Here is a 19,048-nt window from a genome sequence, read left to right as displayed (position 1 = left end):
TCATCTGTTACAATGTACTTATGTTTTTTAACCTCTGGGAAAACTCAGTGGAAAAAAAAAAAACTAAGTATCTGTGCACCTTTCTTTCTAACAATGTACCGGCTAGGTGCGGTGGCTCACACCTGTAATCCTAGCCCTGTGGGAGGCTGAGGTGGGTGGATCACCTGAGGTCAGGAGTTCAAGACCAGCCTGCCAACATGGTGAAACCCCGTCTCTACTAAAAACACAAAAATTAGCTGGGCGTGGTGGCGGGCACCTGTAGTCCCACCTACTCGGGATGCTGAGGCACGAGAATCGCTTGAGCCTGGGAGGTGGAGGTTGCAATGAGCCGAGAACATGCCACTGAACTACCAGTCTGGGCAAAAGAGTGAGACTCTGTCTCAAAAAAAACCCCACCAAAACAACAACAAAAAAAGTACCTAGAAATATAAAATATAGTGCCTGGCCACATTTAAATTGTCAAACATTGTGATTTTTATCTCGACTACATGAGTCTTGATTTCATCTAAAAACCAACCACTTGAATAAAACATGATAGATACAATAAAAGCCAAAGCAACTGCCATTTATCAGTTGCTAACACTTGATTTGGTTAGAATCCTACTACTGTTAGAATTCAATTAATATTAAATATTGTATCCATATGACATGATTAGGCAGGGGCTTGTGCTAGATTGTTGACACTCTGTTATCTTTAAAACAACAAAAGAAAACTGCTAAAGAGTGCTATGAGTAGTATATAAGGTTTTTTTAGGGAATGTATAAATTGCTGTAGGTATTTACCTTGGCTGTACAAGAATTGTCCAAGAAATTCTTGTTTGAAAAATCAGAATTTTTGAACTCTTTTATTTATTGTAAATAAACTATTTACTGTAAATGCCAATAAATTATGATAAATTTAAAGGATTTTGGAAAATGATCATGTTGTCTTAAAAAGACAGCATAAGACATATATTAAATATATTAGGTGAATCAAGATCATAGACCAGTCAGAGTTAGTAGAGAAGTAGTGGGTGAAGTATAAAAACTTAGTGGGAGCTACCCTTAAACACAGTAGAGGAGATCAGGGTTAGGTTACTTGAGAGATTTAGCAAAGACCCCTAGGTAGGGGGCACAGCTTCAAGTACCATTTACTCACTCTGCAACCTCTATTCCTTCTTATTGGCTACTATGAACTAATGACACTATGAATGTGACCATAAGATAAATCTTCCCTCTGCATGTCTTGTTAGGGAGGTACATGTTTTCTTATTTAAGACTTTCATAGACATATATACAGAAAAGTGCACAAATGAGTATTTGGCTTAATGAGTTTTCAGTATTTCAGGTACACAGGAAACATGACCATGTAAACCTCTAGGCAGATTAAGAAACATTGCCACCATCTTAGTGTCTTTCATAATTAATATCGGAAGTGATAAACGGTCACTTCTGCCCTCTTCTGTAGGTAACACAGACCAACCGTGGTACAATATAGGAAGGCAGTGCATAAGGATGTGAATGCCAGGAGTGAATGCCATCTTGGAGGCTGGCTACCGCAGTCATGCATTGATCGTTTTCAAATACTACTGGTTCACTTATGCAGCCTGCACAAATATTGATGTATTTAAGCAAACAATGTAAATAAAAGTCACAACTGATAATCACTTATATCAGAAAATTCTGGAGATACTGGGAAGCTGCCAAGATCATTATGGTGAATACCATTTTTCCAAAATCATATTTTTTTTTTGCCTAAAATCTTGAATTTTATCATTGGCAACAAACTCAATTTTTTTTTCTTTCCTCCCTCCCTCCCTATTTCTCTTTTTTCCTTTCCTTTCCCCTTCCCCTTTCCCTTTCCTTGTTTTTCTTGAAGTTACAGATTCCCTTTGTTCATTTTCAAGAAAGGTTTGTCAAATACCCAAGTCCGAATAACCGGTTTGTCACTCATCTTAGTAAAATTTGTGTTCCAGGAAAAAAAAGTATTTACTTCAGTTTATAATGCCATCTCACAGTAGCTCTTCTTTGATACGTCATACTTCAATATGCAGCAGAAGTACTTTGTGAGGACTTCCAAGTTTTTACAAAGAATATTAAGTGTCGGAGTGGTTATAATAAAGTAACTTTTACAACTTCATCAGGGATATTCTCTGGTGACAGCGTTCATTTTTCCATTTTTTTTTTTTTTTTTGAGACCGTGCCTTGCTCTGTCATCCAGGCTGGAATGCAGTGGCATGACCTCGGCTCACTGCAGCCTCGACCTCCCAGGCTCAAGGGATCCTCCCACCCCAGCCTCCCGAGTAGTTGGGATTCAGGTGCGTGCCGCCAGGCCTGGCTAATTTTTGTATTTTTGGTAGAGATGGGGTTTCGCCATGTTGGCCAGGCTGGTCTCGAACTCCTGACCTCCCAAAGTGCTAAGATTACAGGCGTGAACCACCGCGCCCGGCCCATTTTTCTTACTGTGAGCGTGTGGTGGTGAAGAGCTCCAGTACGGTTTGGTGTCATTACTGTAATTCCTGTGGAGGGGCCAGCACCTTGACCTACCATTGCTTTTCCACCATCAGTGCAAATGTCAGCATTGTGCAAAGGGCAAATCACGTCTTCATATTAGTATGAAAATAATTTTGGCTTTGAAAGGGTGTCATTGACCCTCAGGACAATCGTTGGTCGACATCAGTGGTTCTCAACGGGGCAGGGTGGGAGGGATAGTTTTTCTTCCAGGGGAAATTTCACTGGGGAAACCATTGGCTGTCACAATCGACTGGTGGTGACATCCCGTGGACAGAGACCAGAGATGCTGCTAAGCACCCTACAATGCACAGAACACCCCGTCCCCCAACAAAGCATTATCCAGTTTGAAATGTTAATGGTGCTGAGGCTGAGAAAGTATGACTTCCAAAAATGAGTCTTTTGGGCAGGAGAGTTGGAGAAATTAACAATCTTGATTACCTTTATTACATGTGCTCGTTTATTTTCAAGACATGATGCACAGCTACGTTCTGGCTGTAATTCTGCCTTCTGGGTCCAACTCACTTGTAACTTTAACGTGAAGCCTGCAGTTCAGCCTCGAGCCTCCCTGACTAGCCTCCCCGCCCGGCCGCCTCGAGCCCTTTATAACCGAATTTTGCCTCTCTGTTCTCTGCGTCTGGCCGACCTCATCAGCTAGGCTATAAACCCCTTCGGGGAAGGAGCATATCCTAATCCTTTGAATCCCGTAAAATAAGTTTTCCCCTCACCTTGTTCCCCACTGACGGGACGCGAGGCTGCGCGGTACCGCGGGGGCGGCTCCTCTCGGTGCGCTCTTCAGCCCGCGCAGCCTCATTTTCCCGCGCTCGTGCGCTGCGGTCACTCAGGGCTGCTGCTAGAGGGCGCGCCCAGCCGCGTGGCCCTGACTACTACAAATCCCAGAAGGTCATGCAGTGGGGGCGGCCGCGGTGACTTCTGGGATTTGTGGTCCCGGAGAAGAGATTGGCGGAGGGGAAAGACTGAGTCGTCTTTCCTTTGCCCGCTTCTGTGGACTGTTCGAACGCCCAGGGGTGGGCCAAACCCGTTTCTTAGGAAACCAGGAATCCAGGGAAGGCAGGTAGGAATTTGGGCGTGATAATTTCTGCTTCCAGTGGGAAAGAATGTAAACACGGGGCCTTGGGAGCCGTTATCGGGTAACTGGGGCTGCCCGGTCGGCGGTGGAAGCTGAGGAAGAGGAGGAAAAAGAGGCGAGTGGGTGTTGTGATTAGGGGAGAAAGGACCTTCGGAATAGGAGTTGAAACCCGACGGGATCCGGCAGAGCCTGGTCGCTAGGGTTGGTCTCCAGGGACAAGCGAGTCTGAGGGTCGGGCCCGCCGTGGCACCTTCGCGGAGCTGCGCGGCCGCAACCTTCCCTGAGCGGTGGGACGGGCGGGACGAGCCGGCCGCTCCCCGCTGGAGAGGTGTCTGCGGCCCGGGGCGGTCCGTGAACGCGCAGGTGACGTCCGGGGCAGCCTTTCTGAGCGTTTTTATTATTGTTGACCGATGAAGGGAAAGTCACTAATACTGGTTTTTCTCTTGCGGTGGCGTTTTTGGGTAAATCGTTTCTTGGATTCCTCACCTCTGAATACCTCCTTTTACCCAGAAGGATGCTGTTGTGATTTCCTGATCTTGTTCATGTAGTGGTTTTTCCCTTTGGGTGCTGCATCCTCAGACACACTCAAGACAAGCCCTCTCTGGCGGCTGGGTAAATGTGAAGCCGTCGCCAGTTGTTGAGCGCCTACTATAGGGATCTTTGTAACAGTACAGGAATTTAGAATACAGCGTCGTTGTTTAGAATCGTTATGCCATTCCTGAAATATAATCCTATATAAAAGGTTGAATTTGTCTGGTTTCATGAGTTTAACATGAAACCGGTGTGGATTGTGGTTTACTCTCATGGTTTCTTACTCTGGTAAAAAAATGTTAAGTCTAGGATGTTGAAGCCTCGTGCTTCTAACTAGACTCAGGAAAGCCTCCTTCATAAGAAGTTTTAATTTCATGTTCAGATAGTCATAGAGGAACAATAAACTCGTTCGGCTTAAGATATCTGAAACAACTGGGAATGTTAAATTTTCTAATGCAGAAAGTGCTTTGCATGCTCTAGGATTCACATACCTTTTTAAGCCTGGCTAAGTTTTCTTCAAAGCTTAAGTCCTCCAGAAAGCCTCAAGTGTCTCTTCTCTGATGTCATGGCATCCTTTGTTTACTCTCTTGTAGCACATATCGTGTATGAAATTGACTGTACTCTGTGGTTTCCAGACACTTTTGAAGAAAATATAAAACTTTGCTAATGGCCTTGATAACAGATTCATGCTTTTACACAGTAGTGGGCCCTTGATACTACTGTTTGGTATCTCTATTTTTCCTTTGTTGCTTTTCCTTATCTCCACAGTGACTATTTTAGTCTTTTCCCTTTTTCTCAAGAACTCAGATCTGTTATTTTCCTTTTACTTTGAGCAGATGACTAGCCGCTGTTTGCTGGAGAAATGTGAAGCTTGGGGCATGAAATTCCTCATTTTCCTTTCCCTCCATCCCTGAACTTGCCTGTATGTTTCACTCAATATTAACTCCTTTTTTTGTCTGAGAGGACTGTATTTTTGTCTCCCTCTTTCAGGTTAAACTTGTCGATTGCTAGTGGCATCAGGCCTCCCACACCCTCATAACCTCAGTCTGTCCTGACCTCTGCAGCCCCTGATCTCTAGGTCTCAAGGGATCTGTGGAGGAGAATGGCTCAAACACCTGAGGCAATAGTGGCGTGGTTTTTTCACATATGGTTGAGAGCCACCACCTTGGGCCATAACTTATACTTGTCCCCAGCATTTATAACAGTGGTTTGGGTTGGAAGATGGGGAGGGTAATTGGAATCTGAATGACCTATTAATTTTAAAAGATGTGTGGGTCTGTTTCTCACTTTTTCCTTTCCTTCCCACCCTATCACAGCCCCTCATGTAATCTACAGATCTGATCAACGGTTTTTTTTTTTACTTTTTTTTCTTTTGATCAATGATTTTTATTGTAGTTTACCTCCAGTAAACACACTAGGTGTCCTTTAGTATGAGTAGGGTTCCCACAGTGCCTGGTGCCTCACCTTATGAATAAAGAAAGTTTCATTTGGAATCTTGAAACCGGAAAACGTGGTCATCATTCTTGTTACCATTAGGGATAATCATAAATACAAGACTTCTTTTTATCTTGTCTTACACTGATATCTTGTGAGTCTTTCCTAATGATCTGTATTTTCTCAGGTTGTCCTCACTGTGTGCCTTTTAACTTCTGTTCCATAGTATCCACACTTCTGTTTTCAGCCATCTTCCCCTACAATACTCATAGTCATCTTCAAACATGGGAAACTCATTCTCCTATAATATGATCGGCCTGGGGAGAGAGTTTGCATTGTCCTTATTCCCCAGCACAGTTTATAATCCATTAGTCCTCCAGGTTTTAAAAAAAATCTCAGTTCCTGTGGAAAGTTTGTGGTTCACTTATATTATCAGCCTGTATATTTCTTTCTTTCTTTCTTTCTTTCTTTTTTTTTTTGAGATGGAGTTTTGCTCGTGTCGCTCAGGCTGGAGTGCAATGGTGCAATCTCGGCTCACTGCAACTTCTACCTCCTAAGTTCAAGCGATTCTCCTGCCTTAGCCTCCCAAGTAGCTGGGATTACAGGCATGTGCCACCATGCCCAGGTACTTTTTGTATTTTTGTAGAGACGGGGTTTCACCATGTTGGCCAGGCTTGTCTTGAACTCCTGACCTCAGGTGATCCGCCTGCCTCTGCCTCCCAAAGTGCTGGGATTACAGGTGTGAGCCACCGCGCCCAGCCTGTATATTTCTTGATTGCTGTGATTTATTGGCACTCTCTCATATTCATTAAGAACTCAGACATACGACTCACAATTTTCTTACCCCTCCAAATTCTGCCATTACGGTAGGTCTTTCCATGTGAATGACCTCATAGCCACCCTCACTTTTTTTCTCACCTTCCTTCTAGTGATTACAGGGATCATTTTATTGTGCTTCACTTTATCACACTTCATAGATACTGCGTTTTTGCACATTGCAAGTGCTCAGTAACCCTGTGTCCAGCAAGTCTTTTCGTGCTATTTGTCCAATAGCATGTGTGCACTTAGTGTCTCTGTGCTACATTTTGGTAATTCTTGAAATATTTCAGATGTTTTAATTATTACTATATCTGTTATGGTGATCTGTAATCGATGATCTTTGGTGTTAACAATTGTAATCATTTTGGGTTGCCATGAACCATGCCCATATGAGATGGTGAACTTAATCAATAAATGTGTGTTTTGAATGCTGTACCACCAACTGGCTATTCCCATCTCTCTTCTTCTCCTTGGGTCTCCCTATTTCCTGAGACACAGCAATATTGAAATTAGGCCAGTTAATCCTACAATGCCCTCTAAGTGTCCAAGTGAAAGGAAGAGTTACACATCTCTCATTTTAAATCAAAAGCTAGAAATGATTTTAGGAAGACCTGTTGAAAGCCAATACAGGCTGAAAGCTAGGCCTCTTGCACCAAACAGCCAAGTGGTGAATGCAAAGGAAAAGTTCTTCAATGAAATTGAAAGTGCTACTTCAGTAAACACACAAATGATAAGAAAGCAAAAACCGCTTTATTGCTAATATGGAGAAGCTTTGAATGGTCTAGATAGATCAAACCAGCCACAATATTCCCTTAAGCAGGAGCCTCATTTAGAGCAAGTTTCTAACTCTCTTCAATTCTGTGAATGCTGAGAGAGGTGAAGAAGCTGCCAAAGTAAAGTTTGAAACTGCTAGAGGTTCGTTTGTGAGGTTTAAGAAGCCATTTTCATAACATGAAAGTGCAAAGTAAAGCAGCAAATGCTGATGTTATCCAGAAAAGATCTAGCTAAGATAATTGATGAAGTTGGCTACACTAAATGAGATTTTCTTTTTTTTTTTTTTTTTCTTTTGAGACGGAGTTTCACTCTGTTGCCCAGGCTGGAGTGCAATGGCATGATCTTGGCTCACTGCAACCTCCGCCTCCTGGGTTCAAGCGATTCTCCTGCCTCAGCCTCCCGAGCAGCTGGGACTACAGGCGTGCGCCACCACGCCCAGCTAATTTTTGTATTTTTAGTAGAGACAGGGCTTCACCATGTTGGCCAGGATGGTCTCTATCTCTTGACCTTGTGATCCTTCCGCCTTGGCCCCCCAAAGTGCTGAGATTACAGGTGTGAGCCACTGCGCATGGCCATAAGATTTTCAATGTGGATGACACAGGTTTCTATTGGAAGAAGATACTCTCCAGGACTTTCATAGCTGCAGAGAAGTCAATGCTTGGCTTTAAAGCATCAGAAGACAGGCTCACTCCTTTGTGAGGGCTAATGTAGCTGGGAACTTTAAATTGAAGCCAATGTCTATTTACCGTTCTCAAAATCCTGTTGCCCTTGAGAATTATGCTAAATGTACTTTGCCTGTGTTCTATAAATGGAACAACAAAGCCTGGATGATGGCACATCTGTTTACAGCATGGTTTACTGAATATTTTAAGCCCACTATTGAGACCTGCTCATGAAGAAAAGATTCCTTTCAAAATTTTACTGCTCATTGACAGTGCACCCTGTCATCCAAGAGTTCTGATGGAGATGTACAAGATTAATGTTGTTTTCATGCCTATTAACAACAGCATCTTTTCCTCAGCCCATGGATCAAGGAGCAATTTTCACTTTCAAGTCTTACTATTGAAGAAATACATTTTGTAAGGCTATAGCTGCCATAGATAGTGATTCTTCTGATTCATTTGGACAAAGTCAATTGAAAACTTTCTGGAAAGGATTCTAATTCTAGATAACCATTAGGAATATTTGTGATTCATGGGAGGTGGTCAAAATATCAACATTAACAGGAATTTGGAAGAAGTTGATTACAACCTTCATGGATAACTTTGAGGGGTTCAAGACTTCAGTGGAGGAAATAACTGCAGATGTGGTGGAAATAGTAAGATAACTCAAATTAGAAGTGGAGCCTGAAGATGTGACTGAATTCCTGCAATCTCATGATAAAATTTGAAAGGATGAGGAGTTGCTTCTTAGGGATGAACAAAGAAAGTGGTTTCTTGAGATGGAATCTACGCCTGGTGAAGATGCTGTTAACATGGTTGAAATGACAACAAAGGACTTAGAGTACATTATATAAACTTAGTTGATAAAGCAGTGGCAGAGTTTGACAGTATCGACTCTAATTTTGAAAGAAGTTCTGCTGTGGGTAAAATGCTACCAAATAGGACTGCATGCTACAGAAAAATTTTTTGTGAAAGGGAGAATCAGTCGATGCAGCAAACTTCATTGTTGTTGTTTTTTTTTTGGAGACAAAGTCTTATCCTGTCACCCAGGGTGCCAGGGTGGAGTTCGGTGGCATGGTCATGGCTCACTGCAGCCTTAACCTCCTGGGCTCAGGTGATCCTCCTGCCTCTGTCTCCTGAGTAGGTGGGACTACAGATGTGTACCACCACGCCTGGATAGTTTTTAAAAATTTTTTGTAGAGATGAGATTTCGCTGGTCTCAAACTCCTGGGCTCAAGCCCTCTACCTGCCTTAGCCTCACAAAGTGCTAGGATTACAGGCGTGAGCCAACATGCCTGACCGCTGTTGTCTTATTTTAAAAAATTGTCACAGCCACCAGCCTTCAGTAACCACCACCCTGATCAGTCAACAGCCATCAACATTGAGGAAAAACTCTCCATCAGTAAAAAGATTAGGACTTGCTGAAGGTTCAGATGATCATTGGCGTTTCTTAGCAATAAAATATTTTTAAATTAAGGCATGTACTTTTTTTTTTTTTTTTGAGATGGAGTTTCGCTCTGTTGCTCAGGCTGGAATGCAGTGGTGCAATCTCAGCTCACTGCAACCTCTGCCTCCCGAGTTCAAGCGATTCTCCTGCCTTAGCCTCCTGAATAGCTGGGATTACAGGCACATGCCACCACGCCCGGATAATTTTTGTATTTTTAGTAGAGACGGGGTTTCACCATGTTGGTCAGGCTGGTCTCAAACTCCTGACCTCGTGATCTGCCCACCTCAGCCTCCCAGAGTGCTGGGATTACAGGCGTGAGCCACTGCACCTAGCAAGGCATGTACATTTTTAAAGATATGATGCTATAACACTTAATTAGACTATAGTATAGTGTAAACATAACTTTTATATGCATAGGGAGACCAAAGCATTTGTGTGACCCACTTTTTAGTATTATTCACTTTATTGCAGTGGTCTGGAACTGACCGTGCAACAACTCTGAGATAGGCCTGTACTTATACATCACTTCAGCCATGTGCATCAGTAATGAAGACCTTGAAACCTGCTCGAACTTATGCAGTATTTCATTTCTCTCCCTCCCATACTCCCACAGTGCCCATTCTTTGGTAGTTTCATAAAGCCCTCTGATTCGTTGCTTTTCTTTTCTTTATGTTTTTTGGTTCATTGCTTTTTTTCTCTGTTTCTCTAGTTGATCATTTGATCAAAATCTCCTTGTGGTTATAGACTCCTTTAAGAATGGAATGAAAGCTTAAACACTATTCTCCAAAATGTACACAGATATAAAGAATTTTGTACAATTTATATACAGTTCCCAGTGTTTCTTAGTATCTTGAAGACCATCTATACAACTAGTAAATTTTTGGATCCCTCAGTTAATCTCTTCTCTAAATAAATATTTGTTGAATTATTTCAGGATTTCTGTTAACTTTGTTTTATCATTTATCCTCTCTTTATTTCTTACATTTGTATATCATTGCAGATTTACTGAAAAGTTCAGCATTTGTTATTTATTTATTTTTTGAGATGGAGTTTTGCTCTGTTGCCCAGGCTCACTGCAACCTCCGCCTCCCGGGTTCAAGCAATTCTCTTGCCTCAGTCTCCTGAGTAGCTGGGATTACAGGCATGTACCACCACGCCTGGCTAATTTTTGTATTTTTAGTAGAGATGGGGTTTGGCCAGGCTGGTCTTAAACTCCTGACCTCAAATGATCCACTGGCCTTGGCCTCCCAAAGTGCTAGGATTACAGACGTGAGCCACCGTGCCCGGCCAGCATCTGTTATTTTAAAATTTACCCAATAATTTTGTGAGTTAAGTCGTTTACCAAGTTTGAATCTTTTAAAACCTTTTTATTATGGAAAATTTTAACACATATGAAAGGAAAAAGTACAATGAACACTATGTACTCATCATTCAACTTCATTAGTTATCAATTAAAAGCAATCTAATTTCATGTATATTTTCTCTTGCATTGCACTCCCAACCTCCACTGATTGCTTTAAAACAATTCCTAGATGTCTTATAATTTTATATGAAATATTTCAGTTTATATTTCTAAAACCTAGGGGTTCCTTTTGTAAGCATAATTACAATACCATTATCACACCAAAGAAAAAATAGCCATAATTTGCCAGGTGCGGTGGCTCACGCCTGTAATCCCAGCAATTTGGGAGGGTGAGGTGGGTGGATCACCTGAGGTCAGGAGTTCAAGACCACCCTCACCAACATAGTGAAACTCCATCTCTACTAAAAATATAAAATTAGAAGGGCATTGTGACGCATGCCTGTAATCCCAGCTGCTCGGGAGGCTGAGGCAGGAGAATTGTTTGAACCTGGGAGGCAGAGGTTGCAATGAGCCGAGGTCGTGCCATTGCACTCCAGCTGGGGAAACGAGCAAAACTCCATCTCAAAAAAACAAAACAAAACAGTGATTTCTTAATATCATCAAATATCAAATCGGTGTTCCCATTCCTCCTATTTCATAAATGTTTCCTTCTGGCTGGGTGCAATGGCTCACGCCTGTTATCTCAGAACTTTGGGAGGCCGAGGTGGGCGGATCTCCTAAGGTCAGGAGTTTGAGACCAGCCTGGCTAACATGGTGAAATCCCGTTTCTACTAAAAATACAAAAAATTACCCAGGCGTGGTGGTGCCTGCCTATAATCCCAGCTACTCGGGAGGCTGAGGCAGGAGAATTGCTTGAACCTGGGAGGCAGAGGTTGCAGTGATCCGAGATCGGGCCGTTGCACTACAGCTTGGGCAACAAGAGCAAAACTTTGTCTCAGAAAAAAAAAAGTTTTCTTCTCATTGGCTTTTTTGAATCAGGAGTGAAACAAGATCCACATGTTATGTTGGTTAGTATGTCTCTTAAGTCTCTCTTAATTTAGGGGTTACCTTGTTCTTTCTCTTCTTTCTTTCCTGGCAGTTTATTTCTTGAAGAAACCAGCTTTATTTTCCTTTAGTTTCTGTTTTTTGCTATCTGCATCTCTGATGTGTTATTGAGCATGCTTCACTTTATCCTGTATTTCTTATAGGTAGAGGCCTGATCTGACTCAGGGTTAATTTTTGTAGGAGTACTTACTTCATGAGTGACATGCTACTTCCATCAGGAGGTGTGTGATGTCCAGTTGTCTTTCTTAGTGATGTTAGTGGCCATTGATGATTATTGCCTACAGCCACTAATTAGGGTTGAAAAATGGTGATAGTCTAATCCTGTTATTTCCTCTTTACCTATGGGTTGGAATACTTCCATAAAAGACCAAGTTTTGGGCCGGGCGTGGTGGCTCATGCTTGTAATCCCAGCACTTTGGGAGACCGAGATGGGCAGATCACCTGAGGTCGGGAGTTTGAGACCAGCCTGACCAACATGGAGAAACCCCGTCTCTAGTAAAAATACAAAAATTAGCCGGTGTGGGTGGTGCATGAGTGTAATCCCAGCTATTCGGGAGGCTGAGGCAGGAGAATCACTTAACCCGGGAGGCGGAGGTTACGGTGAGCCGAGGTCGTGCCATCGTACTCCAGCCTGGGCAACGAGAGTGAGACTCCATCTCAAAAAAAAAAAAAGATCAAGTTAGAATTTTAAAGCTGTTTCTTTGTAATTTTCCAGAATGGCTTCCTTTGGGTGGAAGAGGAAAATTGGTGAGAAGGTCTCAAAGGTCACTTCCCAGCAGTTTGAAGCTGAAGCTGCTGATGAGAAGGATGTAGTTGACAACGATGAAGGGAACTGGCTTCATGCCATTAAACGTAGGAAAGAAATTCTTCTTGAAGGCTGTGCTGAGAAAAGTAAACAGCTGAAGGATGAAGGAGCCAGTTTGGCTGAAAATAAAAGGTATGTATTTAAAGTTTTTTTTTTATGGAGAAGAGCTTACATTTTCTAGCTCACTGTCCGTAATGGGATGAAGAGTTATGAATTTGATAAATTCATGTTTAAAAATCTATTCTAGGTGCTAAATTAATCAAAGAAATAAGGTGTTTCAAAGTCACCTGAAAAATGAAAGTTTGTAAAATAGTTTTCAGGATGCAATGAAAGTTTGTAAAATAGTTTTCAGGATGCTAATTATGTCCCTGCTTTGCCATCATTTTTGTTGTGCCTAAAGAAGAGTAAATGCTAAGTAAAATGTAATTCAAGTGATTGGTCAGTAAAAGGTGGTCTTATCACTGGAAACTTTCTGCTTATAACATTATGTATCAGGTAAATTAGGCATTTCCTGAATAGCTTTGAGGGCACATACATAAAAAAAAATAGGTATTTAGTTATTCTTTGCCATTTACTTCTTATATACTTAAGTAAATATGACTTGCTGTACAGGAAGTTGATAATAGCTTCATTTATTTTTAGCCCTTCTTTAGCTAAGTTGTTCCTATATGCACCCATTTCTTTTTTCTTTTTTCCTTTCCTCTTTTTCTTACTTTTTTATTCCTTTTCTCCTTTTTCTGCTTAGATTTTTAAGAAGGACCAAAAATCATTTTTCATTAGTCAGTGGGGAAAAGACAAATTTTTTAGTAGATTCTGTTGAGAAAACTGGATTACTACCTAGAGGAAAATAAAACTGTGTCTGTATCTAATACCATGCACAAAGATGGACCCTGGAGGGATTAAAAATTTGTGAAAGGTAAAACTATGCAATTAATAGAAGAAAATATAGAATGGTATCTCTAATCTATGGTGGAAAAGGCCTTTTTTATTTTGAAAAAATTTCAAATCTGTATTAAAGAATAGTACAACTGGCTGGGTGCAGTGGCTTATACTAGTAATCCCAGCACTTTGGGAGGCCAAGGTGGGAGGATCGCTTGAGCCCAGGAGTTCGAGGATGCGGTGAGCTATGATCTTGCCACTGCCCTCCACCCTGGGCTACAGAGTGAGACCCTGTCAAATAAATAAACAAATAAATAAATCGTATATCTAGTATGATTCCAGTTCCAGTTTTAAAAAATTCTGGCTGTGTGTGGTGGCTTGTGTCTGTAATTTCTGTGCTTTGAGAGGCCGAGGCAGGAAGATTGCTTGAGCCCAGTGGTTGAGGCTACGATGAGGTGTGACTCTGCTATTGGGTTCCAGCTTGGGTGACAGAGTGAGACGCTGTCTCCAAAACAAAACAAAAGAATAGGACAATCTCGTATTTCCTCTATCTAGACTCAACAATTCTTAATATTTGCTTTATCCCTGTCTTTCTACACATGCATACACATACACACACACAGGCATACATAATTGCATATTTACAGGGTGTTTTTGCTGATCTATTTGAAAGTAAGTTTCAGACATTATGACACCTACTCCTAATTCCTCATGTTTTTTCTAAGAATAAGGATATTATCTTACCTAACATATCTTTTATCAAACCTACAAAAATTAACAATTTTATATCTAATATTAGTTCATGTTTAGGTTTTGCCTGTTTTCCCCCAAATGTCTTTTACAGTACATGTTTTTAAAACCAGGATCTAAGGAGTTCACAGATTATATTTGGTTATTATGTCTCTTTAGTGTCTTTTGGCATCCTTGGGTTTTCTACTTTTATCCCCCATGACACTGACTATTGGAAGAGTCCAGACCAATTTTCTATTTGATTGCTTCCTTGTGTGTATCATTTAATTTGTTCCTCTATCTCATGTGTTTCTTGTAAACTGAAAGTTAGGTGTAGAGATTGAGTCTAAATATTTTTGGCAAGTATATGTCGTAGGTAACATTTGTGCTTTATACTGCATCATATTGGGAGATAAATAATATTATATTGCCATCTCTGTTAGTGCAGCCATTAGAAAGACATTGTGCCTATGTCTGTCTCTTTGCTGTGTTTGGTATCTGTTGAGAGCCATATTTTTATAAAAATCTTAAAGCATTGTCCTCTGTGAAGAAAATATATTAGAAAAATTACACTTGACAGTATAAGAATTGTTGATTTGAATAAATACATGATTTTTAGAAGACATATGTATGACCAGCAGGAATAGTAGCCTAATAGGCCTTTGTTTGGGACAGAATACACTTCAGATCATCCAGAAATCTAAAATCAGGCCTGTGTGCCTTTGACTGGTATCTTCCATGTGGTGTTGAAGAGTTTGAGAATTTAAAAGAAAATGAATTAATACTAAGCAAGACACACTTTTTTCTTTGTTCCTTAAAAAAAAAAAAAAAAAACTGGTAAGAGTGGTGATAAGATTTCTTGTTAATAATTTTTGTAAACATGAATCAAAGTTGAGGAACCAATATATTAGCTTTTAGGTCTGTTTTTATTTTTGATTCTGGTGTAATCTTTTATTATAACTTAATATAAAACAAAATGTGCTTAAGCTATGAAATACTAGCATCTCAAATTGGGAATAAAGGGTGGAAAATAAATAGCAATCAAGATCAATTAACTTAACTAGCTAATGTTAGGTTGTGAATTCTCATTTGTGGTATTTTAGGCATAAAGATTTTTATCTCACAGAACTCTGTAAGATTGACTAGTCTGTCTTAGAAGAAAACCAAATGTAAATTCTCCTCATTTATGAATACTTTGAGTACATCCATAAAACATCTTTAGGAACTCCTGTAAATGCCTGTTAAAAGTTCATTAACTTTTAACCACACTAATGTGTGGAAGGAAAAGCTGTTCTGTTATTGCCATCGGATTCCCTCTGAATTTCCTGTGACAGAGAAGAGATATCAGCATTGTAGACAAACACAATAACTCTTGTTTTCTGCCTGTATGTCGAAACATTGAGTCATTTCACTAAAACCAGTGGGATTGGATGCTTTATTTTGGATGGAGAACACTATAACATGATTACATTTTTTGCTCTTTAGCATTTATTTTTGAGTAATGTATATACTGCTTTAGAAAATAACTACAAAGATATATATTTTTTTGAGGTGGAGTCTTGCACTGTTGCCCAGGCTGGAGTGCAGTGGCGCGATCTTGGCTCACTGCAACCTCCTTCTCCTAGGTTTAAGCAATCCTCCCTGCCTCAGCCTCCCAGGTAGCTGGGATTACAAGTGTGTGCCACCATGCCCAGCTAATTTTTGTATTCTTAGTAGAGATGGGATTTCGCCATGTTGGCCAGGCTGGTCTTGAACCCCTGACCTCAAGTGATCTGCCTGCCTCAGCCTCCCAAAGTGCTGAGATTGCAGGTGTGAGCCACCATGCCCAGCAAAAAAATATTTAAGAGGCTACTAAACTTGATTGAAAGTAATATAAGGAAGAATAATTAAATTAGATTAAAAAAAATACTGAGTCCCTGCCTACCAAATCAACTTCATCTTAAACTGTGCTTATTTTCACTACATTTTAGCCAGATGGGCCTTCTTCATTTTTTTGAACATAGTTATTATACAACTTTGTGCTATGACTCTGTCTGAAAACCTTTTTTCTCTGGTTTTCTGCTGCCTGTCTTCCTGTCCTTTGGATTTCTGCTCATTTGTCATTTTCTCAGCAGTCTGCTCTCTGATTACCCAGTCTGAAGTAACATCCCTGTACTCACCCTTTTTCTATCACATCAGTGCATTTTGTTTTTGAGCATTTCTCCCTTTTTGAAGTTACTGTATACACTTATTTAGTGTGTTTAGAATATTTTGTTTATATGTTGTTTTTCTTTTGTAAGAATGTAAGCTCCAGGACAGTAAGGAATTTATCTAACTTGTATAGTGTCTTCAGCTCTTAGAATAATTTGTGGCACTTACTAGGCCCTCAGTAAATATTTATAAAGCTGTGATGTTTTTTGGCTGTATTATGGCTAAAAACGTTTTTATAAGCTAGCTACCATTTACTGCATGATATCTATAGAATATACGTTTAAAAACTCCAAATTAGAATATAGTATTCTGAGAATGTATTTTATTTCATACCCAAACCACAAAGGACCTTTGGGAATAAAATTTTCTCACCCTCCTCCCGAATGAAAATATGGCACTTGATAATAATTGCTCTATTCTGGGTCTTATTCTTTTTCTTCTTTTTTTAATCTCACAAGGATGGCAGGATTCTTTTTCTCATAACCCTTACTCTTCCCATTCCCCTGTTGTTTTGTGTACAGAAGGCTTTGTTTATGCAATAGGAAAATAACAACAGATTTTACAATACAGTGATTATGGTCTGGCATTAGTGCCAGATGGCTTTGTTTCTTATCCTAGTTCTGCTGTTGACCAGCTTTGCAATATTAGGCAAGTTATTCAGCTTCTCTGTGTTTAAGTTTCCTTTTCTGCAGAAAATATCTACCTCAATGCTGTTGTGATGGTGACATGAATTTACGTATGTAATGTACTTAATATATTGCCTGTCATGTAGTAAATACTCAATAAATATTAGTTATTATTATTATTACTATTATAGTAGTCCTAATTATTCTGTGTCCTTGATTGGCTATATATTTCTTCACTTGCAATTGCCTCATGGGGTTCTTATAAGGCTGAAATCCAATAACGGATACAAAAATACTTTAAAAAGTAGGCATGGATTTCTACTGACAGCCATGAGAGAGTTTCTAGAACTAGACCTGGATGGCCCCAAACAACTAGAAAATTGGACAAAAGATATAAAAAAAAAACTGTTTTCAACCATTGGACAGTAGTCAGCATAGGACTCTTATCTTTGAGAGAAGGGGCAAAAACAAGATGATCCCTATAAGCTTCCTTAATTTCTTTTTTTTCTTTTTTTTGAGACAGAGTCTCGCTCTGTTGGCCCAGGCTGGAGTGCATTGGCATGATCTCGGCTCACTGTAACCTCTGTCTCCCAGGCTCAAGCGGTTCTCCTGCCTCAGCCTCCTGAGTAGCTGGGATTACAGGTGTGTGCCACCACGCCTGGCTAATTTTTGTAATTTTAGTAGAGATGGGGTTTTACCATATTGGCCAGGCTGGTCTTGAACTCCTGACGTCAGGTAATCTGGCGTTCTTGGCCACCCAGAGTGCTGGAATTACAGGTGTGAGCTACCGTGCGTGGCTGAGCTCCCTTAATTTCTACCTGAAGGTAGTCTCCAGGGAATGGGCACACAGAAGAGGAAACCAGATAGACCACAGTGGTCTTGCTGCGTGAGGAGATGGAGATTGGACTTTGGAGAGGCTGACACAGCTAGAAGTTGCAGAGTAGAGTACCAGAGAAGAGGAAGCTACTCAGAGAAAAAGCTCCAGAAGTCTATGAGGTCCCTTTGAGTCTTTGTTGAACATTAGGCCATGCAACTATTGGGGAATTTCTGTAAATCCAGGGAAAATGACTGAGAAGTTGTAAGCTGAACCATTCGTAGCGTTCATACAGAGCGGAGAGCTATTCAAGCTTCAGCCATTCAGAATGGAGTGTCTTTGATGGTCACCAGAAATATTTACTGGAGTCACAGGGGGTTATTTCTTAGTAGAATGACTACACTATCCCTAGAGGGAAGGCTACTTCAGACCTTCCCTAGAAAACCTTTAAAAATAGTTTTTGAAGGGTTCAAACTGATACTTTCAAACTTTACTGCCTGCCAGAATAGAGCCTAACATTTTTAGTCAACAGTGTAACATTTAAAATATTCAGCATCTAATCAAAAATTACTGGACATGCCAAAGAGTTGGAAACTGTGACCCATAAATAGGAGACAAATCAGTCAATAGAAACATTCAGAAATAACATAGATGATGGAAGTAGTGGACAGAGAGATTAAAATGGTAATACAACTATATTCAGATAATTAAAGGGAAACAAACATAATGAGGAGTGAAATGGAAGATATATTAAAAAAAGGAACATCTAGAAATGAAAAATACGATATCTGAAATAAAAAATATACTGAACAGTTATGCTAGTCTGGGTCCTTCTAGAAGCATATGCTAAGACCGGCTTAAACATGCAAAGATTTCATTAGGGGAATCACTGTATGAGAGGACATGGGGTGGGAACTGAGTAAATCTGGGAGAGCTATGCTTGTCTAACCCCCAGTGAAGGGGAGAGGGAGGGAAGGTTGGATGGAAATGTCTTAGGCTGTCATATTATCTAAAGAAAGTTGGACAATACCTTGGATAGTCGTCAAGTCAGAGTTGTCCCTCATTGGAGTCCCATGCCCCTCGGGAATGAGCTGGTCTTCTTATTTCTGCTACTTCCAGTTAATGTGGAGAAAAGCCATGAGATATTTATCCTTGCTGCATATGTGGCCATGGATTTCGGAGTGTAGAAGCTGAGGTCAGCTGGAGGTCTATGCAAGATAATGGAATGACATCATTTAGTTTTGAAGGAAAGTAAAACTGCCAACTTAGAATTCTTTGTATTATAAAAATATCTTTCAGAAATGAAGGCAAAATAACTTTATTGGACAAACAAAAGCTGAGATAACCCATT

The 19,048-nt window shown here is 40.5% G+C and overlaps 2 protein-coding genes across 3 annotated transcripts in view, besides 1 other annotated feature; one reads left to right on the top strand and one right to left on the bottom strand.

Annotated features, from left to right (window-relative positions):
• Positions 3,405-3,554: an enhancer, noted in NCBI's record as "active region_22503". NCBI's record gives its function as "activates an Ori minimal core promoter by ATAC-STARR-seq in GM12878 lymphoblastoid cells {active_cell/tissue: GM12878}" and the evidence as "EXISTENCE:reporter gene assay evidence [ECO:0000049][PMID:35858748]".
• TTC33 (tetratricopeptide repeat domain 33) overlaps positions 3,428-19,048 on the top strand; it is a 44,386-nt gene continuing 28,765 nt past the window's right edge. Inside the window, exons 1-2 of one of the 2 annotated variants that reach the window (NM_012382.3) lie at positions 3,428-3,565; positions 12,370-12,591. In NM_012382.3, coding sequence (NP_036514.1) covers positions 12,371-12,591 — 221 coding nt within the window. In that variant the 5' untranslated portion in view covers positions 3,428-3,565; position 12,370. Of the gene's footprint in view, positions 3,696-12,369; positions 12,592-19,048 lie in introns of both variants that reach the window. The other variant, XM_011514003.4, reaches the window with a different exon arrangement.
• The window catches only part of PTGER4 (prostaglandin E receptor 4), a 66,886-nt gene continuing 60,426 nt past the window's right edge, over positions 12,589-19,048 (bottom strand). Inside the window, exon 4 of the mRNA XM_017009659.3 lies at positions 12,589-18,905. The gene's annotated coding sequence lies outside the window, so the exon portion shown is untranslated. The remainder of the gene's footprint in view (positions 18,906-19,048) is intronic.

This window comes from Homo sapiens, chromosome 5 (genome assembly GCF_000001405.40).
Source record: "Homo sapiens chromosome 5, GRCh38.p14 Primary Assembly".
In the NCBI taxonomy this organism is placed as follows: Eukaryota; Metazoa; Chordata; class Mammalia; order Primates; family Hominidae; genus Homo; species Homo sapiens.
This window is presented reverse-complemented; position numbering and strand designations above follow the sequence as displayed.